Source organism: Homo sapiens, chromosome 8, assembly GCF_000001405.40.
Source record: "Homo sapiens chromosome 8, GRCh38.p14 Primary Assembly".
Taxonomy (NCBI): domain Eukaryota; kingdom Metazoa; phylum Chordata; class Mammalia; order Primates; family Hominidae; genus Homo; species Homo sapiens.
The window spans coordinates 92,889,880-92,909,132 of record NC_000008.11 but is presented as its reverse complement, the minus strand read 5'-3'; the positions used below and the strand labels follow the sequence as shown (position 1 = coordinate 92,909,132).

General features: G+C 34.4%; 1 protein-coding gene across 14 annotated transcripts in view; it reads left to right on the top strand.

The window, feature by feature from the left end:
• The window catches only part of TRIQK (triple QxxK/R motif containing), a 134,132-nt gene that overhangs the window by 108,533 nt on the left and 6,346 nt on the right, over nucleotides 1–19,253 (top strand). For all 14 annotated transcript variants that reach the window (XM_047421713.1, NM_001438083.1, NM_001171799.2 and 11 more), the window contains one exon: nucleotides 17,059–17,144. In XM_047421713.1, the coding sequence (XP_047277669.1) occupies nucleotides 17,059–17,144 (86 nt within the window). The remainder of the gene's footprint in view (nucleotides 1–17,058; nucleotides 17,145–19,253) is intronic.

Sequence of the window (19,253 nt, the reverse complement as noted above, 5' to 3'; positions counted from 1 at the left end):
TCCATACGAAAGACTATTGACCCCTAGTTTTGTAATGAGTCTTCTTTAGATATTTGTAGTTTGCAATATAATAACTAAACATTGTGTTCATATGGCAGCTGCAGATTTACTTTATATGACAAATTGTGTTACTTTTATATGTAACTTAGGTAATACAAGAAAAGTAAGATTCCAAGTAGTATATTGCTTTTTGACGAAGGGAGGAGGGATTGGAAGCATTTGGTGAGATTTATTCTAAAAATGTTGAAGGAAATATAAAAGTCTTTATTGTTGATTACCAAATATTATTTGCCAGTATTTTTGGCATGCTGTAAATAACTCATCTTCCAATAATTCATTTGAGTAATTAAATTTAGATTGCAAATTTTTCTTTTCAAATATTTTGACTCTTATCTCTCTGCTTTTCTATTGTATCTTAATTGGTGTGGTCTATATAAATGGACAATAAATTATATATCTTTGTTACAGAGATCAGACAGTGAATAGAACTTGGTATTTATCCCAGACAGAATTATGATTGAATGTATTTGCAAGATTAAAGCACTGAATTTACTTTTTTCTAATTAAAGGCAATTAAAGATTTCTAGACACAAATAAAAGACAATGAATTGAGGAATAAGTGCAGGAGCAAGTCCATTTGCAGGTGAAAAGATGTGCCTTTGAAGCAGAACCAGCTGTATTTTCATTGAAAGAATAACAGTTTAGGAAGCTTTTCTGCATGTGCTTGCTTGATAGCATAATGTACTCATAAGCAGCTTATGCAGTATTCAGAAAATAACAGTGCATTAATTTTTAAAGCAGCAAAGGCAGAGGAAGAGCAGTACTGCCACATGATGATAATGAGTGTGGCTAGTGTAAAGTCGACTGTTGAGAAAGAAAGAAACAGTGAGCTTCTAGAAAATGAACATTTATAAAACAATAACCAGATATTCACGTGATAATGAGCTTGAGCAGCAATATCAACAAAGGGCAAAGATGTAGTCTTGTTTCTGGGCAAGGGTAAGGAATTGAACAACAAAAAGCCAAAAGCAGTAAAGTAATCTATTTTGTTTTTTTAATTTAAACTAAGGAAGCTCCCATGAAAAAGTCATGTCACAGTTAAAATGATTGCTTTAAATATGAAATAATTTCTGGCATAGATAACTTTTTAGAACATATAAATGACTGTGTCCATCCCTAAAATAGTGTAATATGAGGAATGGTAAATGATGACAATAAGGTATTTAAATAGTTATTATTTTTATTAAATATGTTTTTATATCTCTCAATATTAATATTTGTTTTAGTAGCTATCTTTGTATGTACATAAATGTGTGTTTTTTTTATAGGGACAGCACTAATGCCAGAGTTAAACCTGTTTTATTCATACTGAATATATAAGCAAAGGAACTTTTAACACAGATAATATCTACTAATTAGAAATTATAACTTAAAATGGCTTTTAAAGTATTTTGTTTAAAAAGCTGACACTACAGATTGTCTGTATTGTATATGCAAGTAAAAATTATGAATTTGTGTGCTACCATCTTTGCTATCAAAAACTCCAGAAATAATTTGAAAATTCTTTTATATTAATGTTTACTTTTTAATAACGACTTTGCTTTTAGTTAATACTCATAATCTCTGTTTAAGACTTGAAACTGGAAATTCTGTTGATTATGTACCTTGAGTTTTCAAGTATATATTTTTAATCCATATTTAACAGGAGGACACAGAGAAGAACTAGTTTGGTTTGTTAAATTTGCTTGAATTGGTAGCTATACACACACTGTTAAGTGAATCTTAGTCTTATGTAATTGGAAGAAACCATTCACAAAGGTAATCTTTTAGGGCATGAGAACGATGTTTAAAATGATCCCAGGCAGAAGTATCCATTCCACTTTGGTCTTAGTTTTATAGGATGTGAGCCACAGATGGAAATAGCCATGATTCCAGAGAAAAACAAGAAATAGAAATGATGGTAGAAAGAGAAAGTCCTTCAGTGTCAAAACTTCAACTTATGTCAATCCCTACAAAAATTTTTCCTTTTCCCTTATTTTTTGGAATCAATGAATCAATCTCAATCTCTTTCTCTCCCATTTTCATGTTATTTCAAGATGGATTTCTGTCATTGATAATGAGAATAATTCTGAAAATGATCTAAGGATATCTCCAGCATCCTCCACAGCTACCCAAACATATATCCCAATCAAGCTTGAGCTGCTGTTCACTAAGTCCAGTATTTTTTTTTTTTTCTTTTTGAGACGGAGTCTCGCTCTGTCTCCCAGGCTGGAGTGTAGTGGCGCTATCTCAGCTCACTGCAAACTCCGCCTCCCAGGTTCACGCCATTCTCCTGCCTCAGTCTCCTGAGTAGCTGGGACCACAGGCGCCTGCCACCACGCCCGGCTAAATTTTTTTTTTTTTTTTTTTTGATAGAGACGGGATTTCACCGTGTTAGCAGTCTTCCCTTTATTCTATTGTGATTTGGCATAAAGGAAGAGGAAGAAATGTTTTTAAAATTTTGATAATGGTGACTTTATAGGGAAATTGTTTGTATGGGGAAGATGAGTGTTACATTCTAGGAGCAAGCAAAGAAATATAGGTTCAGGCTATCATTCTCAGTTCTCTAGTTGGTCATAGTAGTTGTAACTTATGACTTCCCTTCTTAATTCAAGAACCTTAGTTTACTGAGGGTCTTTGCCTTTAAAAATTTAAAAATTGTATTAAATTTTATGATTGGTCAAAATAGTACTTGAGTTGTCCCAGGAATTTCCTTACCTCTTCCCATACTCCTTTAGGCATGCGCTATGTATGAACAAACCATTTCAACGGACCTTGATAACCAGCATAAATTACCTCAGCCAACACTATGATTGACCATTTTACTAGTTTGCCTATAGGTATGTAGAATTCAAACTGCCTAGGTGGCTGGCTCAGCTTTCAATTCAGGAGAACTAGTATCGTATCTTTTCTTTAGGTTACCTCTGTTTCCAGGTAAACTGAACAAAATATACTACTCAAATTTTGGCCACTGGGACAATTTCCCTTTTTCATTGCCCTTTGGGTTCATCTTCAATGATAGCTATAATACCATAGCAGTCTATTTCTAGCTGGTGTGAGAATATGATAAAGATCTATGTACAAATGTTTTTAATGCTAAAATACCTAATCTTATAGTTTATTGAACTAGATAACCTCCAGTTCATGACTGGAAGCTCAGGCCAGATGATCCCTGAGTCTCATGACAAGGTAGTCAGTTCTCTATCCATTTGGTAGCAATCCAGGAGTTGTTTCTTAGCAGATGCTACTTGCTGAAGGGGGTATGGCACTGTTCCAAAACCCTAGAGACTGACACTTTTCTTTTATTCATACCTGCTGAAGGGTTGCTTCTATGTCTCAGTTAGCTAACAGTACTTCAGATTCCATTGAATCTACCATGTCATAGACTCCAAGAGATAGAGTATCTGTCACAGCAATCTACTGGAGAACCTTTTATTGTCCCATGCTCTACTCAACTCTAGGAACTTTTCAGGTCCCCTACATAGATAAAATAAGTACTATAGGTTTAAAAAACAAGAACATGAACAACCATGGATCCGCCATCCAAGTTAAAAATTGAAAATACACCAGTAGCTAAGAAGCCTTTTATATACTCCATCGCAATTGCAATGTCCTCCATCTTTCCGAGGGATTACCACAATATTAATTTTGTATTAATTCTCTTTAAGGATTTGCCACTTAAATTTGTGCCAGTAATCTATCATTTAGTTTTGTCAGTTTATATAGGTGATCTTTATATAAATGAAATCATGTTGTATATATTGTTATAAAATTTGCTTCTACTGAACATCATGTTTTAGAGTTTTATTTTTGTTCATGGCTGTTGATATAGTTCATTCATTTTCTGTGCTTTATGGCTTTCCATTATTTCTATATACTGGTATTTTTCTTCTAGTCTCCTGATTTTGGACAGTTATAAATTATTCTCAGTTTTTTTTTCTATGAATGCTATTACGAACGATGCTTCTATGAATATTTTTAGACGTGTCTGTTCATCGATTTACATGTACAAGTTTCCCTGCAACATATACCTAGTAGAAGAGTGTTGTGTCATAAGTATGGATGTGTAATAATCAAGTTGTGAGTGTTGTTTTTATTTTTTAAGAAGTTGAGCCTTTGCACCATGCTTGCTGGTGATGGTAATGGTAAGTAAGGTGTGGCAAGTTAACCTTTAATTCTGGGAGACAATTCCAACATGCAGACCTCCATAAATTAGACTTAGGTAGCAAACCTCTTTTAAAAGAATGTTTATTATTGTCTCTTTTATGTATATATCTGAATGAGATGTCTCAGACACTTTCCATGGCTTCTCCAAGACTTACATCATATCATTGTCATTGTGATATACTGTGGGGTTGTGAAGCAGTTAAAATCTCTGGGAATCATATTTTTAACACTGAGATGTGGAGTTTATCTACTCCTGCAGTAGGACTGTAAGTATACTGCTGTCCTTTCCAGTAAGGACAGACAGCCTCTTGCAGTATCTGTGATCAGGCCTGAGAAAAATGCATTGGCTTGGTTAATTAGCTAGTTATGACCATGTGCTAGGGACTTCATTATTCTGCTACAGTAAGAAAATTCTACTATAATTTTAAATTTTCAGTAGTACTCAGTTGGTTTCCATGATATAATTAATCACAGTGAGGAAATAAACAGGCCAGTGAAAATAATCAGTGTGACTGCACATACAAAGTTATTCATCATATAGTCAACCTCTGAAATTCCCCCAGGAGTATACATTTCCTTTTCTTTATCATTTTAGTAAAGAAAGGGAGTAATAGTTCTACTTCACACTCATTAACAAAATAGCTGTTAGAGCACATATTGGGGAACCATGCTGGAGATCCTGCCTATTTCCATTATCATTTGAGCCCATGTATTCAAAAACTGGAAAATGAACATAGGGTCTGTTCTGGATCACTGAGTCTGCCATTAGGAATTGATTTTTTTTTAATCAACTTATCTGTTAAACTCCTTCTAGGAGTTAGTGTTTTTTGAATCTTTGCACTTCAATATTTCCAATATTTGAAATTGCTTCTATCATCTACCCACATGGCTTCTTTGCTAACTTCATTTGAGTATAGGCTCAAATGAAATCTTATTAAGGAGGACTCCTTTGACTGCCATATCTAAAACAATACATATCTCGCTTTGATTGTCTGCCCATTGCCAACTGTATTCTTCTTTTTAGTGCTTTTTATCACCTGATAAATTGAACAATTTTTGTTTGTTTATTATTTGTCTTTTACACAAGGTTTGGGATAACAGGCACTTGACCTGTTTCATTTACACATTAGTTATCACCCTGAACGTAATACTCATTTCTGTACTTTGTTTTGATGACATACTATTGAGAAAAATTTATTGATACAAATAAATAGTTAAATATGATAACTATCTTATTAATAGTATAGATCTAGCAATTTCAGGATACTCTTCAATTAAACTGATCACAACATGAGAAAAGAGTAATAGGAAATTTTATTCTGCAACAGAATCACAGGCACCTATAGCCTGCAGTTTTTATTATTAATATAAAATGTCAGCAACCAGAGTATAATAATCCTCCTAACTATGCATGTACCTTTCACATTTTATTGCAAAACTATTAGGCTATAATAAGAACATGCATCAAGCAGGGACACCAATATCTTGCCTGGCATTTAATTATCAAAAACACCTGTGCTACAATAGTATATTCACGTGTATAATTCTTTATATGTAGACATTTAAGTGCTTGAATTATTTAAAAAATCTACTGTCTGGATAAAACTTCCATAACCAATGACAAATGTCAAAGCTGCTCTTAAATGAGCACAGCAAAGTCAAATGATATAAACAATAACTAGCAAAGTCAACACTAAAAATAAATGCACTTCTTATTTCCATTACATTAAAATGTGAAATGTATTGGGTTACTAAAGTTTTTAAAATGTTAAAATTTTAAACATAATTTAGAATATATTTAAAAATAAGAAATTGAATAAAAATTGATTTGAGTTAGTCTGGAAAGTTAAAATATGAAATGTATTGGATTACTAAAGTTTTTAAAATGTTAAAATTTTAAACATAATTTAGAATATATTTAAAAATAAGAAATTGAATAAAAATTGATTTGATTTAGTCTGGAAAGTTAGGTATATATTTTATAATTTCTAGGGCAACCATTAAAACATTAATCTAGAGTCAAAATCACAATACATAATTTAAATGGAACACTAAAAATTGTTCAAGTAATACAATAAGAAGGAAAATGAAAGAGCAACAAAAATCAAAGGGAACAAAGAGAAACAAAAAAGTTAGACCTTAATGAAAACATATCAATAGTTTTATTAAATGTAAACACCTAAACATACTAATTAAAGGACAGATTTTCACATTGAAATTTTATAAAATTACTTAAATATAGGCTATATATAAGAAATTAACCTGATGAGCAAAATGGCTGAACAGAATCCTCTAGCGATCATCCCCCCACAGGAACACCAAACTGAACAACTATTCACACAAAACAAGCACCTTCATAAGAAGCAAAAAACAGGTGAACCGGTACCTGGCTTTAACATCGTATTAAGGAAAGAGGCACTGAAGAGGATTTGAAAGACAATCTTGAGTCACCTATACCACCCCTTTCCCGTACTTCACCTTTGGCCATGTGGTGTTAAGAGACAATCTGTGCACTTGCATGAGGGAGAGTGCAGTGATTGTGGGAATTTGCCTTGGAACTCAGTGCTGCCCTGTCACAGTGGAAAGCCACACAGGGAAGAACTTAGCTGGTGCCCACAGAGGGAGCATTTAGACTAGTCCTAGCCAGAGGCAAGTCTTCTATCCTGGTGGTACGAACCTGAGTTTCAGCAAGCGTCATCACCACGGACTAAAATACTCTGGGATCCTAGATAAACGTGAAAGGCAGTCTAGGCCACAAGGACTGCAATTCCTTGGCAAGTCCTGGTACTCTGCTGGGCTCGGAACCAGTGGACTTGGGGTGTATGTCATCAGAGATGAAAAAGGAGGCATTACAAGTGATATTTCAGAAATAAAAAATACAAGCTACTTTGGGTAACTGAATGCCAATAAATTAGTTAACCTAGAGGAAATGGATAAATTCCTAGACTCATACAACTCACTAAGATTGAACCATGAAGAAATCCAAAACCTGAACAGAACAATAACAAACAATGAGATCAAATCCATAATACATCTTTCAACAAGGAAAAGCCCAGAACCTGATGGCTTCACTGCTAGATTCTACCAAACATTCGAGGAAGAAATAATACCAATCTTACTCAAACTTTCAAAAAATAGGGGAGAAAGGAATACTTTCAAACTCATTTTACAAGGCCAGTATTACTGTAATACCAAAAACAGACAAGAACACATTAAAAAAAAGAAAACTACAGGCCACTCCTAATGAACATTGATGCAAAAATCCTCAACCAAATTCTGGTAAACCAAAGTCCAACAACACATTAAAATATTATTCATCATGAGCAAGTGGGATTTATCCCAGGGGTGCAAGGATGATTCAACATACACAAATCAAACAATGTGATACATCATATCAATAGAATGAAGGACAAAAACCCTATGATCATTTCAATTAATGGTGAAAAAGCATTTGATAAAATTTAACATCCTTCATGATAAAAACCCCTCAAAAAAACTGGGTATAGAAGGAACATACCTCAACGTAATAAAAGCCATATATGACAGACCCACAGCTAGTATCATACTGAATGAGGAAAAAGTGAAAGCCCTTTCTCTAAGATCTGGAACAAGACAAGACTGCTCACTTTCCACCCCCGTTATTCAACATGGTACTGGAAGTCATAGCTAGAGCAATCAGACAAAAGAAAGAAAGGACATCCAAATTGGAAAGGAAGAAATCAAATTATCCTTGTTTGCAGATGATATGGTCTTATATTTGGAAAAAACAAAAGACTTTATGAGAAACTATTAAAATTAATAAGCAATTTCAGTATAGTTGCTGGAGTTGATTTTTGTACAAAATCAACCTACAAAAATCAGTAGGATTTCCATATGACAATAGCAAAGAGTCTGAAAAAAAATCAAGAAAGTAATCCCATTTGCAATAGCTGCAAATAAAACAAAACACCTAGGAATAAACTTAAGCAAATAAGTTAAAGATTTCTATAATGAAAACTATAAAACAATGATAAAAATTTGAAGAGAACACAAAAAAATGGGAAAATATTCCATGTTCATGGATTGGAAAAATCAATATTGCTAAATTGTTTATCCTACCCAGAGCAAACTATAAATTCAATGCAATCTCTATCAAAATACCAATGAAATTCTTTACAGAAATAGAAAAAGTAATCCTAACATTTATATTAAACCAAAAAAGCCTCAGAATTGCAAAAGCCATCCTGAGCAAAAAGAACAAAACTGGAAGAATCACATTAACTGACTTCAAATTATACTGCAGAACTGTAGTAACCAAAACAGCATGGTACTCACATAAAACCAGACACATACACCAATGGAATAGAATAGAGAACTCAGAAACAAATTCTTACATCTACAGTGAGCTCATTTTTGATAAAGGTGCTAAGAACATACATTAAGATATGGACAGTCTCTTCAAAAAATGGTACTGTGGAAACTGGATATCTATATTCAGAAGACTGCAACTAGAACCCTATCTTTTACCATATACAAAAATCAAATCAAAATGCATTAGACTTAAACCTCAAACTATGAAACTACTAAAGGAAATCATTGGGGAAACTCTCCAGGAAATTGGATTGGGTAAAGATTTCTTGAATCATAGTTCACAAGCTCAGACAACCAAAGCAAAAATGGAGAAGTGGGATTACATCATATTAAAAAGCTCCTGAACAGCAAAGGAAACCATCAGTAAAGTGAAAGGGACAACCCACAGAATGGGAGAAAATATTTGCAAACTATCTAACAAAGGATTAATAACTGGAATACATGAAGAGCTCAGACAACCCAATAGGAAAAAATTTAATAATCTGAGTTTTGAATGGGCAAAATATCTGAATAGGCATTTCTCAAAAGGAGCATACAAGTAGCAAACAGGTGTATGAAAACATGCTCAAAATCATTAATCATTAGAGAAATGAAAATCAAAAATACAATGAAATATCATCTCACCTCAGTTAAAAATGGCTTTTATCCAAAAGGTGCAAGAACGAATGCTGGTGAGGATGTGGAGGAAAGGAAACCCTCATACACTGTTGGTGGGAATGTAAATTAGTACAACCACTATTGAAAACGGTTTGGAGGTTCCCCCAAAAACCTAAAAATAGAGCTACCAGATGATCCAGCAACCCTACTGCTAAGTATATATGCAAAAGAAAGGAAATCAGGATACCAAAAAGATATCTACACTCCTACGTTTATTGCAGCACTATTCACAGTAGCCAAGATTCAGAAGCAACCTAAGTGTCCATCAATAGATGAATGGCTATAGAAAGTGTTACTTATACACAATGAAGTACTGTTCATCCATGAAAAAAGAATGAGATCCTGTCATTTGCGACAACATGGATGTAACTGGAGGTCATTATGTCAAGTGAAATAAGCCAGGTACAGAAAGAAAAAGTGGGCATCTTCTCACTTATTTGTGGGAGCTAAAAAAATTTAAACAATTGAACTCATGGAAATAGAGAATAAAAGGATGGTAACCAGAGACTGGGAAGAGTATTGGGGAGGGGGTGGAAGGAGTGGGAATGGTTAATGGGCACAGAAATATAGTTAGTAAGAATGAATAAGATCTAGTATTTGATAAAACTTATTGTACATTTAAAAATAATGAAAAAGGCCAAGTGCAGTGGCTCATGCCTGTAATCCCAGGTGTGATTTGGGAGGCTAAGGTGGGCAGATCACGAGGTCAAGAGATTGAGACCATCCTGGCTAACATGGTGAAACCCCATCTCTACTAAAAATACAAAAATTAGCTGGCCATGGTGTCATGTGCCTGTAAACCCAGTTACTTGGGAGGCTGAGGCAGGAGAATCAGAGGAGTCAGAGGTTACAATGAGACGAGATTGTGCCACTGCACTCTGGCCTGATGACAGAGTGAGACTCCAGAAAAAAAAAAAAAAGTAGTATAATCAGATTGTTTGCAACACAAAGAAAGGAAAATTCTGGAGGAGATAGATACCGCATTTACCCTGATGTGATTATCATGCATTATATGCTTGTATCAAAATAGCTCATGTACCCCCATCTATATATATATATATATATATATATATATATATATATATACACACACACACCTATTATGTACCTGCAAAAATTAAGTAAAAAACAAAAAGAGAATTTGAAACATTCAGCCTGAAATAACTGATAGATTACCAACACTGAGCTTTTAAGCAGCAACCTCTGTTTGACTCAGCCATTGTATCCTATTTTATGGTTATAAAAATTGTAAATGAATGAAAATTAATGTAAAAATCCAACATACTAACTTTAAATGTGATGATAGTAAAATTAAAGCTATGGAGGAGAAGTACTTCTTGAGTGGAAAGTAAAAACCTCTGAAAATCTGCTTTTATATAAAGCCAGTGAGAACACTGGTGAAAACTATCAAAATCAATGTTTTCCAGAAACCTGAAAATTAACTAAAATCTTAAAACCATCTAAGGAGTGTTTATTTCAGAAAAACAGGTGAATCTCAGTAATATCTGCAATCTTTGTGGTGTTTTAACTTGCCTTAATGCCATTTTCTTTTCTTTAGCCTTTCAACTACAGTAGTTACGGAAAACGTTAGCGTAGCAGCCACTGGAGAAGGCAAAATTCATTTGGAGATATGCAAAGCCCCCATCCTCAAGACTTGTCACAATTTGACCAGTCTGGAAACTCACTGAAAAGCCCCTTTCTCAAAACTTGTCTTTATTTGACTTTACTTAGAGCTAACTCTGTGTGAAGAGCCCTTTCTCTGTGGCATTTGACAAAAACAATGAACAACAAGTGTTTAACATTGTAGTTGCCTGAAGCATCATTACTAGTGGGGTTAAACATGAGACTGACCAAAGAATAAAAGCAAAAACAGGGGAACAACATGCCCATAGAATTTTTTAAAAGGTCTGACAGATTCCTGAGAATCTAGAAGGTCATGTGCACGAGCAGGGCTATATCATGCCCATTAAAGATGTGAGGAACCTATAATCTCTTACCTCTTGGTGGACTTAAGGCTCTTCACAAGCAGAAGTGAAGGCTAAGGCATAACTATAAACCTCTGTTGTAGCATGGAGATGTACCCCAACACAAAAACATACACATATACCTGCATGCACATATACAGACACACACACAAATAGTCACATAGCTCCTCAGCAAAATTAAGAGACTTAGTGGTTCAAAGCATTTAAGGAAATATCTGTCCAGTCATTACATGATGTCTTAGTCCATTTGGTGCTGCTATAACAGAATACCTGAGACTGGGTAATTTATAAAGAAAAGAAATCTATTTTTTAAAGTTCTGGAGTCTGGAAAGTCAAAGGTCAACGCATCATCCTAATGGGGAAGAATAAAGGACAAAAGAGCACATACAAGAAAGCAAGAGGAAAGGGACCAAGCTCATTCTTTTATCATGAGCCCACTCCTGTGATAACTAATTCATTCATGAGGGCAGAGCCCTTATGACCTAATAATCTCTTAAAAGTCCCACCTCTCAATGTTGTTGAATTGGAGATTAAGTTTCCAAAACATGAACTTTTCAGGACACATTCAAATTATAGCATTCTAGCCCTGGCCTTCAAAGTTCATGTCCTTCTTACAATGCAAAATACATTCATTCCATCTCAATAGTCCCAAAAGTCTTACCTCCTTCCAGTATCGACTCAAAATTTCAAAATCCAAAGTCTCATTTAAAATCACATGTGGGTAAGACTCAAGGCATCATTCGTCTCGAGGCAAATTCCTCTCCATCTGTGAGCCTGTGAAATTAATCAAATTATCTACTTCCAAAGTACAATGCTGGGGCCTGGCATGGTGGCTCATGCCTGTAATCCCAGCACTTTGGGACGCCGAGGTGGGTGGATCACCTGAGGTCAGGAGTTCAAGACCAGCATGGCCAGTATTGCGAAACCCCATCTCTACTAAAAATACAAAAATTAGCCAGGCGTGGTGGTGCATGCCTGTAATCCCAGCTACTTGGGAGGCTGAGGCAGGAGAATCACTTGAACCTGGGAGGCAGAGGTTGCAGTGAGCCAGGATCATGCCATTGCACTCCAGCCTGGGAGACAGGAGTGAAACAACATCTAAAAAAAAAAAAAAGAAAGAAAAAGAAAATGCAATGTTGACACAAGCCTACCACAGACATTCCCATTCCAAAAGGGAGAATTAGGCAAGAAAAAAGTAGTAACAGATTCCAAGCAAGTCCAAAACCCAACAGGGAAAACAACATTAAATCTTAAAGCTGGACATAATATCCTTTGACTCCATGTCCCACATCCTGGTCACATTGGGGCAGGCATTGGGCCCCTAAGGCCTCAGGCAACCCTCCCCATATGGCTTTGTTGGGTTCAAACCACCCAGCAGCTCTCACAGGTTGGAGTCTCTTGACTGGTTCTTTCCCAGACTGTAATTGCACACTGGTAGCTCTATAATTCTTGAGTCTCTGAGGTGGCTTTTCTCCTGTGGCTTCACTAGGCATTGCCCTAGTCAGGGCTCTCTGCAGTGGCTTCATCCCTGCAACAAGTTTCTGCCTGGGTCCCCAGGCTGTCCAGAACATCTTTTGAAGTCTAGTTGGGGGCCTCCATGGCCCCACAGCTCATGAAATCAGTAAGTCTGCAGAATCAGCACTACATGAACCCTGCTAAGACTTATCCCTTGTGTCCCCGGAGCTGCAGCACAAACTTCACCTGGGCCTGCTTAAGCCACAGCTGGCATGGCTGAGGGGTGCTGTGCTGGAATGTGAGAAACAGAGTCCCAAGGCAACTCCAGGCAGTGAATACAGAGGTCCCCTGGAAGCCTCTCTGGAGATGTTGCCCTTAAGATCTTCTGGATCTATTTTGGGAGGGGCATTCTCAGAGATCTCTGAAATGTCTTTGAGGTCTTTCTCTCATTGTCCTGATGAATAGCACCTGGTCCCCTTCTCTCCCTAGTAATCTCTTTAGCAAAGGGTTGCTTGGTCACACCTTTAGTATTCTCTCCTCAGCACACTTTTTTTTTATTCTTTACATGGCCAGGCTGAGAGTTTTATAAATCTTTTCCTCCTGTTTCTCTTTTAATTGTAAATTTTACCTTTTAGTCATTTCTTTTTTTGCACATCTCACTATATGAGGTAAAAGGCAGTCATACAACTCCTTCAGTAATTTGCTTAGAAATTTATTCTGGCAGATACTTTAGTCCATTGCTTGTACATTCTGTCTTCCATATAAAGTATTTGACATGGAAGCAATTCAGCCACGTTCTTTGCCAATTTATAACAAGGATAGCCTTTACTCCAGGTCCCAATAAGATGTCTCCCATTTCCATCTGAGACCTCATCAAAATGGCCTTTACTTTTCATGTTTCTACAAACATTCTGATTATGACTACTCAAATAATCCCTAAGAAGATTCAGACTTTCCTTACATCTCACCATTTCTTCTGAGCACCCCCCAGAATCACCTTTAATGCTTCCTTCATGGCAATACAGGGTTTTTCTAGCCTGCTCTTTCAAATTCATCCAGCCCCTCCCCATTGCACATTTCCAAAGCCACTTCCACATTTCCAGGTGTTTGTTATAGCAGCACCCCTACTTCTTGGTACCAGTTTTCTGTCTTAGTCTATTTGGTGCTGCTATAACAAAACCTTTGAGATTAGAAAATGTGTAAAGAACAGATATTTATTTCTTATGATTGTGGAGACTGGGAAGTCTAAGCTGGAGGGGCCTGCCTCTGGCAAGGGCCTTGTGAATGCATTATCCCATGGTGGAAGGCAGAAGGGCCAAAGAGCATGCACAAGAGAGAATGAGGAAGTAAACTGAATTTATCTTTGTATTATGAACTAACTTCTATGATAACTAACCCACTCTCACAATAATGGCATTAAGTTATTCATGAGGGCAGAGTCCTTATGATCCACTCTCCTCTTACAGATCCCACCTCTCAAAACTGTTGCACTGGAAATTAAGTTTCCAACATGAATTTTGGGGGACACATTAAACCACAGCAGATGACCAATAAGGTAACTGTGCAGAGACTTCAGTGACCATATACTATTGAATACAGTCTCTATAGAATTAGTTCAGTAAAGTTACTAAACAAAGGGATTCTAACAACAACAACAAAGAGCAAATAACAGTAACAACAAACCTCAGGGACGATCTAGTTTGCAGAGTTTCCACATTACATTATCAAATATGTTTGATTTTCAATTTAAAATTATGAAACACATAAAGAACTAATAGGTTAGTTCATACACAGAAAAATGCAGTAGAACCTGTTCCTAAGGAAGCTCAGACATTGGGCTTGATTGAGGCCCCAGATTGGCTTCATAGGCTTGAATTACCAAGTTTTTCTCTCCACATAAGATTTAATGAGCAACTGTCAAATAGCTACTTTGGTTATTGCATCACTGATACAACCAAAATCAGAATCAGTTGTGTTCAAGAAACAGTCTACATATAAAATCTAGATTATGTAACTGTGTTTTTTTTTTCCCTTAGGTGTAAGTACGCAGAAGTCAGGGACTTCTATATTTTATATTTTTTACAATCATGTGGGCATAGGTATCTTTCTTGAAGCCATAAATATTTAAATGTTGAAAACCTCTTTGGGTACAATGGAATGATCTGGCTTTAGTTATAAAGAACCTACCAGACACTCCTGTAAATGTTGTCACTTAGTAAACTAAAACCACATTTTGCAATATACACTTTTGGATATCATAGTCGACAAGGAGAATGCTAAATTTATGACAGATGCACTGCTTGGAAAAGTACCAGGTATACAATAACTTTTAATACTGTCTTTTTATTATAAATACAGTTTCAAATGTTAATATCAACTTGAATACAAATCTGGAAGTATTATTCTCTAAGAATATGAGAGTTGAATTGAAATAGAATACATTATTTAACCAATGGTTATATGGCAGTTGAAGTAGAGTGAAAAATTCTCATTTTAGTATTGACTCTTAGATATTTGCATGTGTTTTATGACAGATACATTATCCAAAATATTTCATATCTGTATAAAAAATATGAATTAAGATAATCCTCTTGCATCTGTTTATTCCTGCTGCTCACCCCCCACCCCCCGCCATAGCATCAAGAGATTATTATAGGGCATATACAGGATAAAACAAGAAGTTACTTTGTGATAAATCTACAATCTTCAAATATCTTTCAGAATTCTTGTTAGAAACTTGCTTGGTAACCCTGACCGGAGGCCTTTGATGTGTCACCATTTTCATTGTTCTGAACTGTTTATAGCTCAGCAGGAATAATGACATGAATAGTTTGACTGTAGAGATGTGAAATTAGAGTGAACACTTGTCAAGATTTTTTTCATCAGAATTAAATATTGCTAATTTAAAATGGGTCAGAGTAACATTTTTCTCATGTATTTTGTTCATTCCATTATTTAAATTTAGATCATTTGATACATATTATGACAATTGTCTCATTTCTAGATCATCAGACCCCATCATCAAATAATATTTATTAAGCTTCTGCATGCTCATTGATCCAGAGTTATTGCTATACAATAGCAGTTAAGGAAAGAGAAGACAATCCTTTAAAAACAAAATACCTTGCTTTCCAGCCAAACAAACACTTTTATGTGTCTAATGGACATAAATATAATGTTTCTTCACTACGCCCATCCATTTGACTACCATTTCTAGTTCTAAAACTCTGTATGAAATTTTAAAGATACTTTTGAATCATTAGCAGACACATTAAGATATATTGCACATTAAATTTTTATGATATACTTGAGTTTAGACCAATTGCTTTTCAATTTATTTCAATGTGAAGAAGATGTGGAAATTAATGTTAGAATTTGTATTATTTAGATGAAGGGAATGTAGCGATGAGTTTTGTAAAGGAACTGGTCATCGAAAGGAAGGGGAAAAGATGAAAATAAAACAAAATAAGAATATAAAATAGCCAGAGAGATTATACGATCATGTATTAACTCCTCCTGAGAATAAAATATTATATTGTTATGTTTGAGGCTCATTTTGACTCAGTTCCTAGTTAAGAGTTGGCTAACAAAAAGTATATCATTGTAATGAATGCTTTCACTGTTCTTGTTCTTGTTGTTAAACCTATATTCTCCCCAGGCTGTGTAATCCACTTTTGTTACTCTTTGCTGGAGTCACTAGATGATACACAAAGGAAATTTTGTGGCACTAACTCAGTTTCGCACATTTTTGGCTATGAAATGTGGAAGAAATTATTGAAACTAATATCTAAATGTAGCTATTCTATAACTTCTATCTAGCCATGTTAATTTTGTTCTCTATTAAGAGGAAATAAAAGAGGAAATAAAAGAAATATTTTTCTAATGAATTCAGGGTGGGGCTAAAAGTTAAATATTTATAGATTTCTTCTTTAGTCTTTTACTTAAAGGAAACTTGGGGATATTTCTCACTTATGTTTTGAATGCTTAACGTATCCATAATAAAATACATTTATAATTAGCTGTTACTCTTAGGAAGACAAAGTTAACTTTAGCTGTTAATAGGATCTTACATATACTCATTTACTTATGCATCTGTTTCCAAATGCTTCCAAAAGTTTTATTTTCTTTACTTTAAATTTTGTGTTCTCTAAAACAAGTTTTTATCTTTTTTGACATTCACTATACAGCAAATTGAAGATGTCCGTCAGTATCCTCTTCCTGAAAAAGTAAGAGAGAAGGAAAAGTTGACCTTTTGGTGACAAGTTTATGGTTACCACAACTGGGAACTACTTTGCAACTCCGTGTCCCTGTTTCACTGTATTTAAACATTCTTTGACATTTCAAATGATTGTTAAACTTAATTATATATGAGCATAACTCATTGTCTGAAACTATTTCTTTCTAGGTAAACAGGATTATAAAAAAACTAAACCTATTTTACGAGCAACCAAATTAAAAGCAGAAGCAAAGAAAACAGCAATAGGCATAAAGGTAAACCTCTATTTGATAACTTTAAAATTTGATATGTGCATGCCATTTCATTTTCTAAAACTGGATTGCATAAATGTTGAATTCTAAATGTTTTATGACATTTCACAATCTAAATAGAATGCCAGACTTAAAGGTTTTTGTAAAGAATTTACTTAATGGAAAACATCCTTCCTATTCTGAGATTTTGAAGGGTCTTAAAACAGTGTCACTTAAGAGAATCAGTTATACTTAAAGGTGCAATTTATTTTCTCTCTAGCTACTATGTGTATTATTCAGACATTTCAGTGATATATGTGGCCTTCGTCAGAAATTTCTTTCGTTTTTCAATAAATCTCATTTTATAGTTGTTTAAATTGTAGTTGTAATTATATATACTGAGATCATTAATTATGTAATTTTACTCTGCTTATCTTATTGTTGTCAGTACTCTCTGATGAAATTATAATGACATTCCTAAACTTGTTCTTTCAGAATACCAGTGTTTTATCTGCTTAAGAGGGATAAATGCAACTGAGAATGATGTTAGCAGATATTAATTTAATGTGCTAACACAATGAAGCTCAACAAATTGCATTTACATTATTGCCCATGTCAATCTTTTGCCAGGTATTTAGAGTTGAATTAAACTATTAATAGAAGAATTAATTTGGCAACTCTACTATCAAAGGTGTAAAATAAAAATGACCAGTACATATATTTTATTTAAATATTAACATGTTAAAAGGAGATTTTGGGTTTTATCTGGCAGATGAAAAATCAATTTTTCTAAGTTATAGCTTACAGCAAATGCCAAGGTATTACTACCAAGCTGTAACAGCTGTTGAACTGCCAGATGATATATTTGGTTGTCTTCCAGAATTTGCTATTATGATCACGAAACACTGCCTTCTTTTCGCTCCTGATTGCTGATTTTGATCAAGCATTGCCGTGTGATGCAGTATGTTTGCACAACACCATCTCTTCCATGCTGTGTGTCAGTTTTTATTGAAAAAAAAGTAAATTGCCTTTTTGTTTAAAAGAGAGAAGATTCATCTTTTGAAGTATTTTTCTAATTTCATGTGAAATCTCATTCATTAAAAAAATTCTTTATGACGTGACTTTTTAAAAAGCAGTGTTGAGATTTTTTTAAATTTTACATTTGGCTACTTGGTGATCATTTCTTAAAGCGAGAACATTGTCTGTCATTGCCCTCAAAGGCAATATGTCATTTACTTTTATCTTTCACAATACAGTGGGATTTTTGTTGTTTTAATTAGTTTGTTTGTTTCTTAGAAAAATATGGGGTAACAAAATCCTCTTGTGGCACAATATGATGAGAAGTTAAATATCAGGATTTGAGAAATAGTGCAGCTATTTATTTATTTATATACCAGTTTTATACACACACATCTTTTTTATACATTTGCTCTTATAATTGTTGTTAGTCTTTAAATTTGAAGAAATAATAATGTTCCTAGTATGAGATAAGGTCTACCTTATAGTGCAGTTATCTAGTGTCTTTTTAAAAACACTGTAGAATTTGCTAATCTTTCTATGAGAAAACATTTTTCTTAGATTTTATTTAATATTTAAAGTATCAACAGAAAACTTTCAAACTGACAGCAGAACATAGCTCCTTTTTAATAAGCTAGCACATCATTTTGATTTGTAAACCTGTGGAAAACAAAAACTTTAACCTTAAATATTACTTACTTTGCTTGACAATTTATGTGGAGAGCCTATTAAGATGATATGAAACTTTTTAGAATCAGAACCTTGAAGGTGTTTTACATTTCAAATCTGGCATACTAATTAATTTGCCCTGTCAAACTTTGATTGCCTTGTCATTTTGGCATAGGATTTTAAATAACAAAGTTTCTTTCAGCAATTGCCATTTAATGCTTTTTAATTTCCCCAGTGAGTGATTTTATCCATATTGATAATGTCAGAGAAGCAACTAAGGACTAATGAACAACAAGCATATTGTACTCTTACCTAGTTGATATAGAATGACCATAATATTGTGATATCTTATCACTTTACTACATAGTCTTTTGAATGAATCATAGATATACTCTTCATTTAATTCATATCTATAGAAAATATGAACAGATGCATGGATAGAAAAAT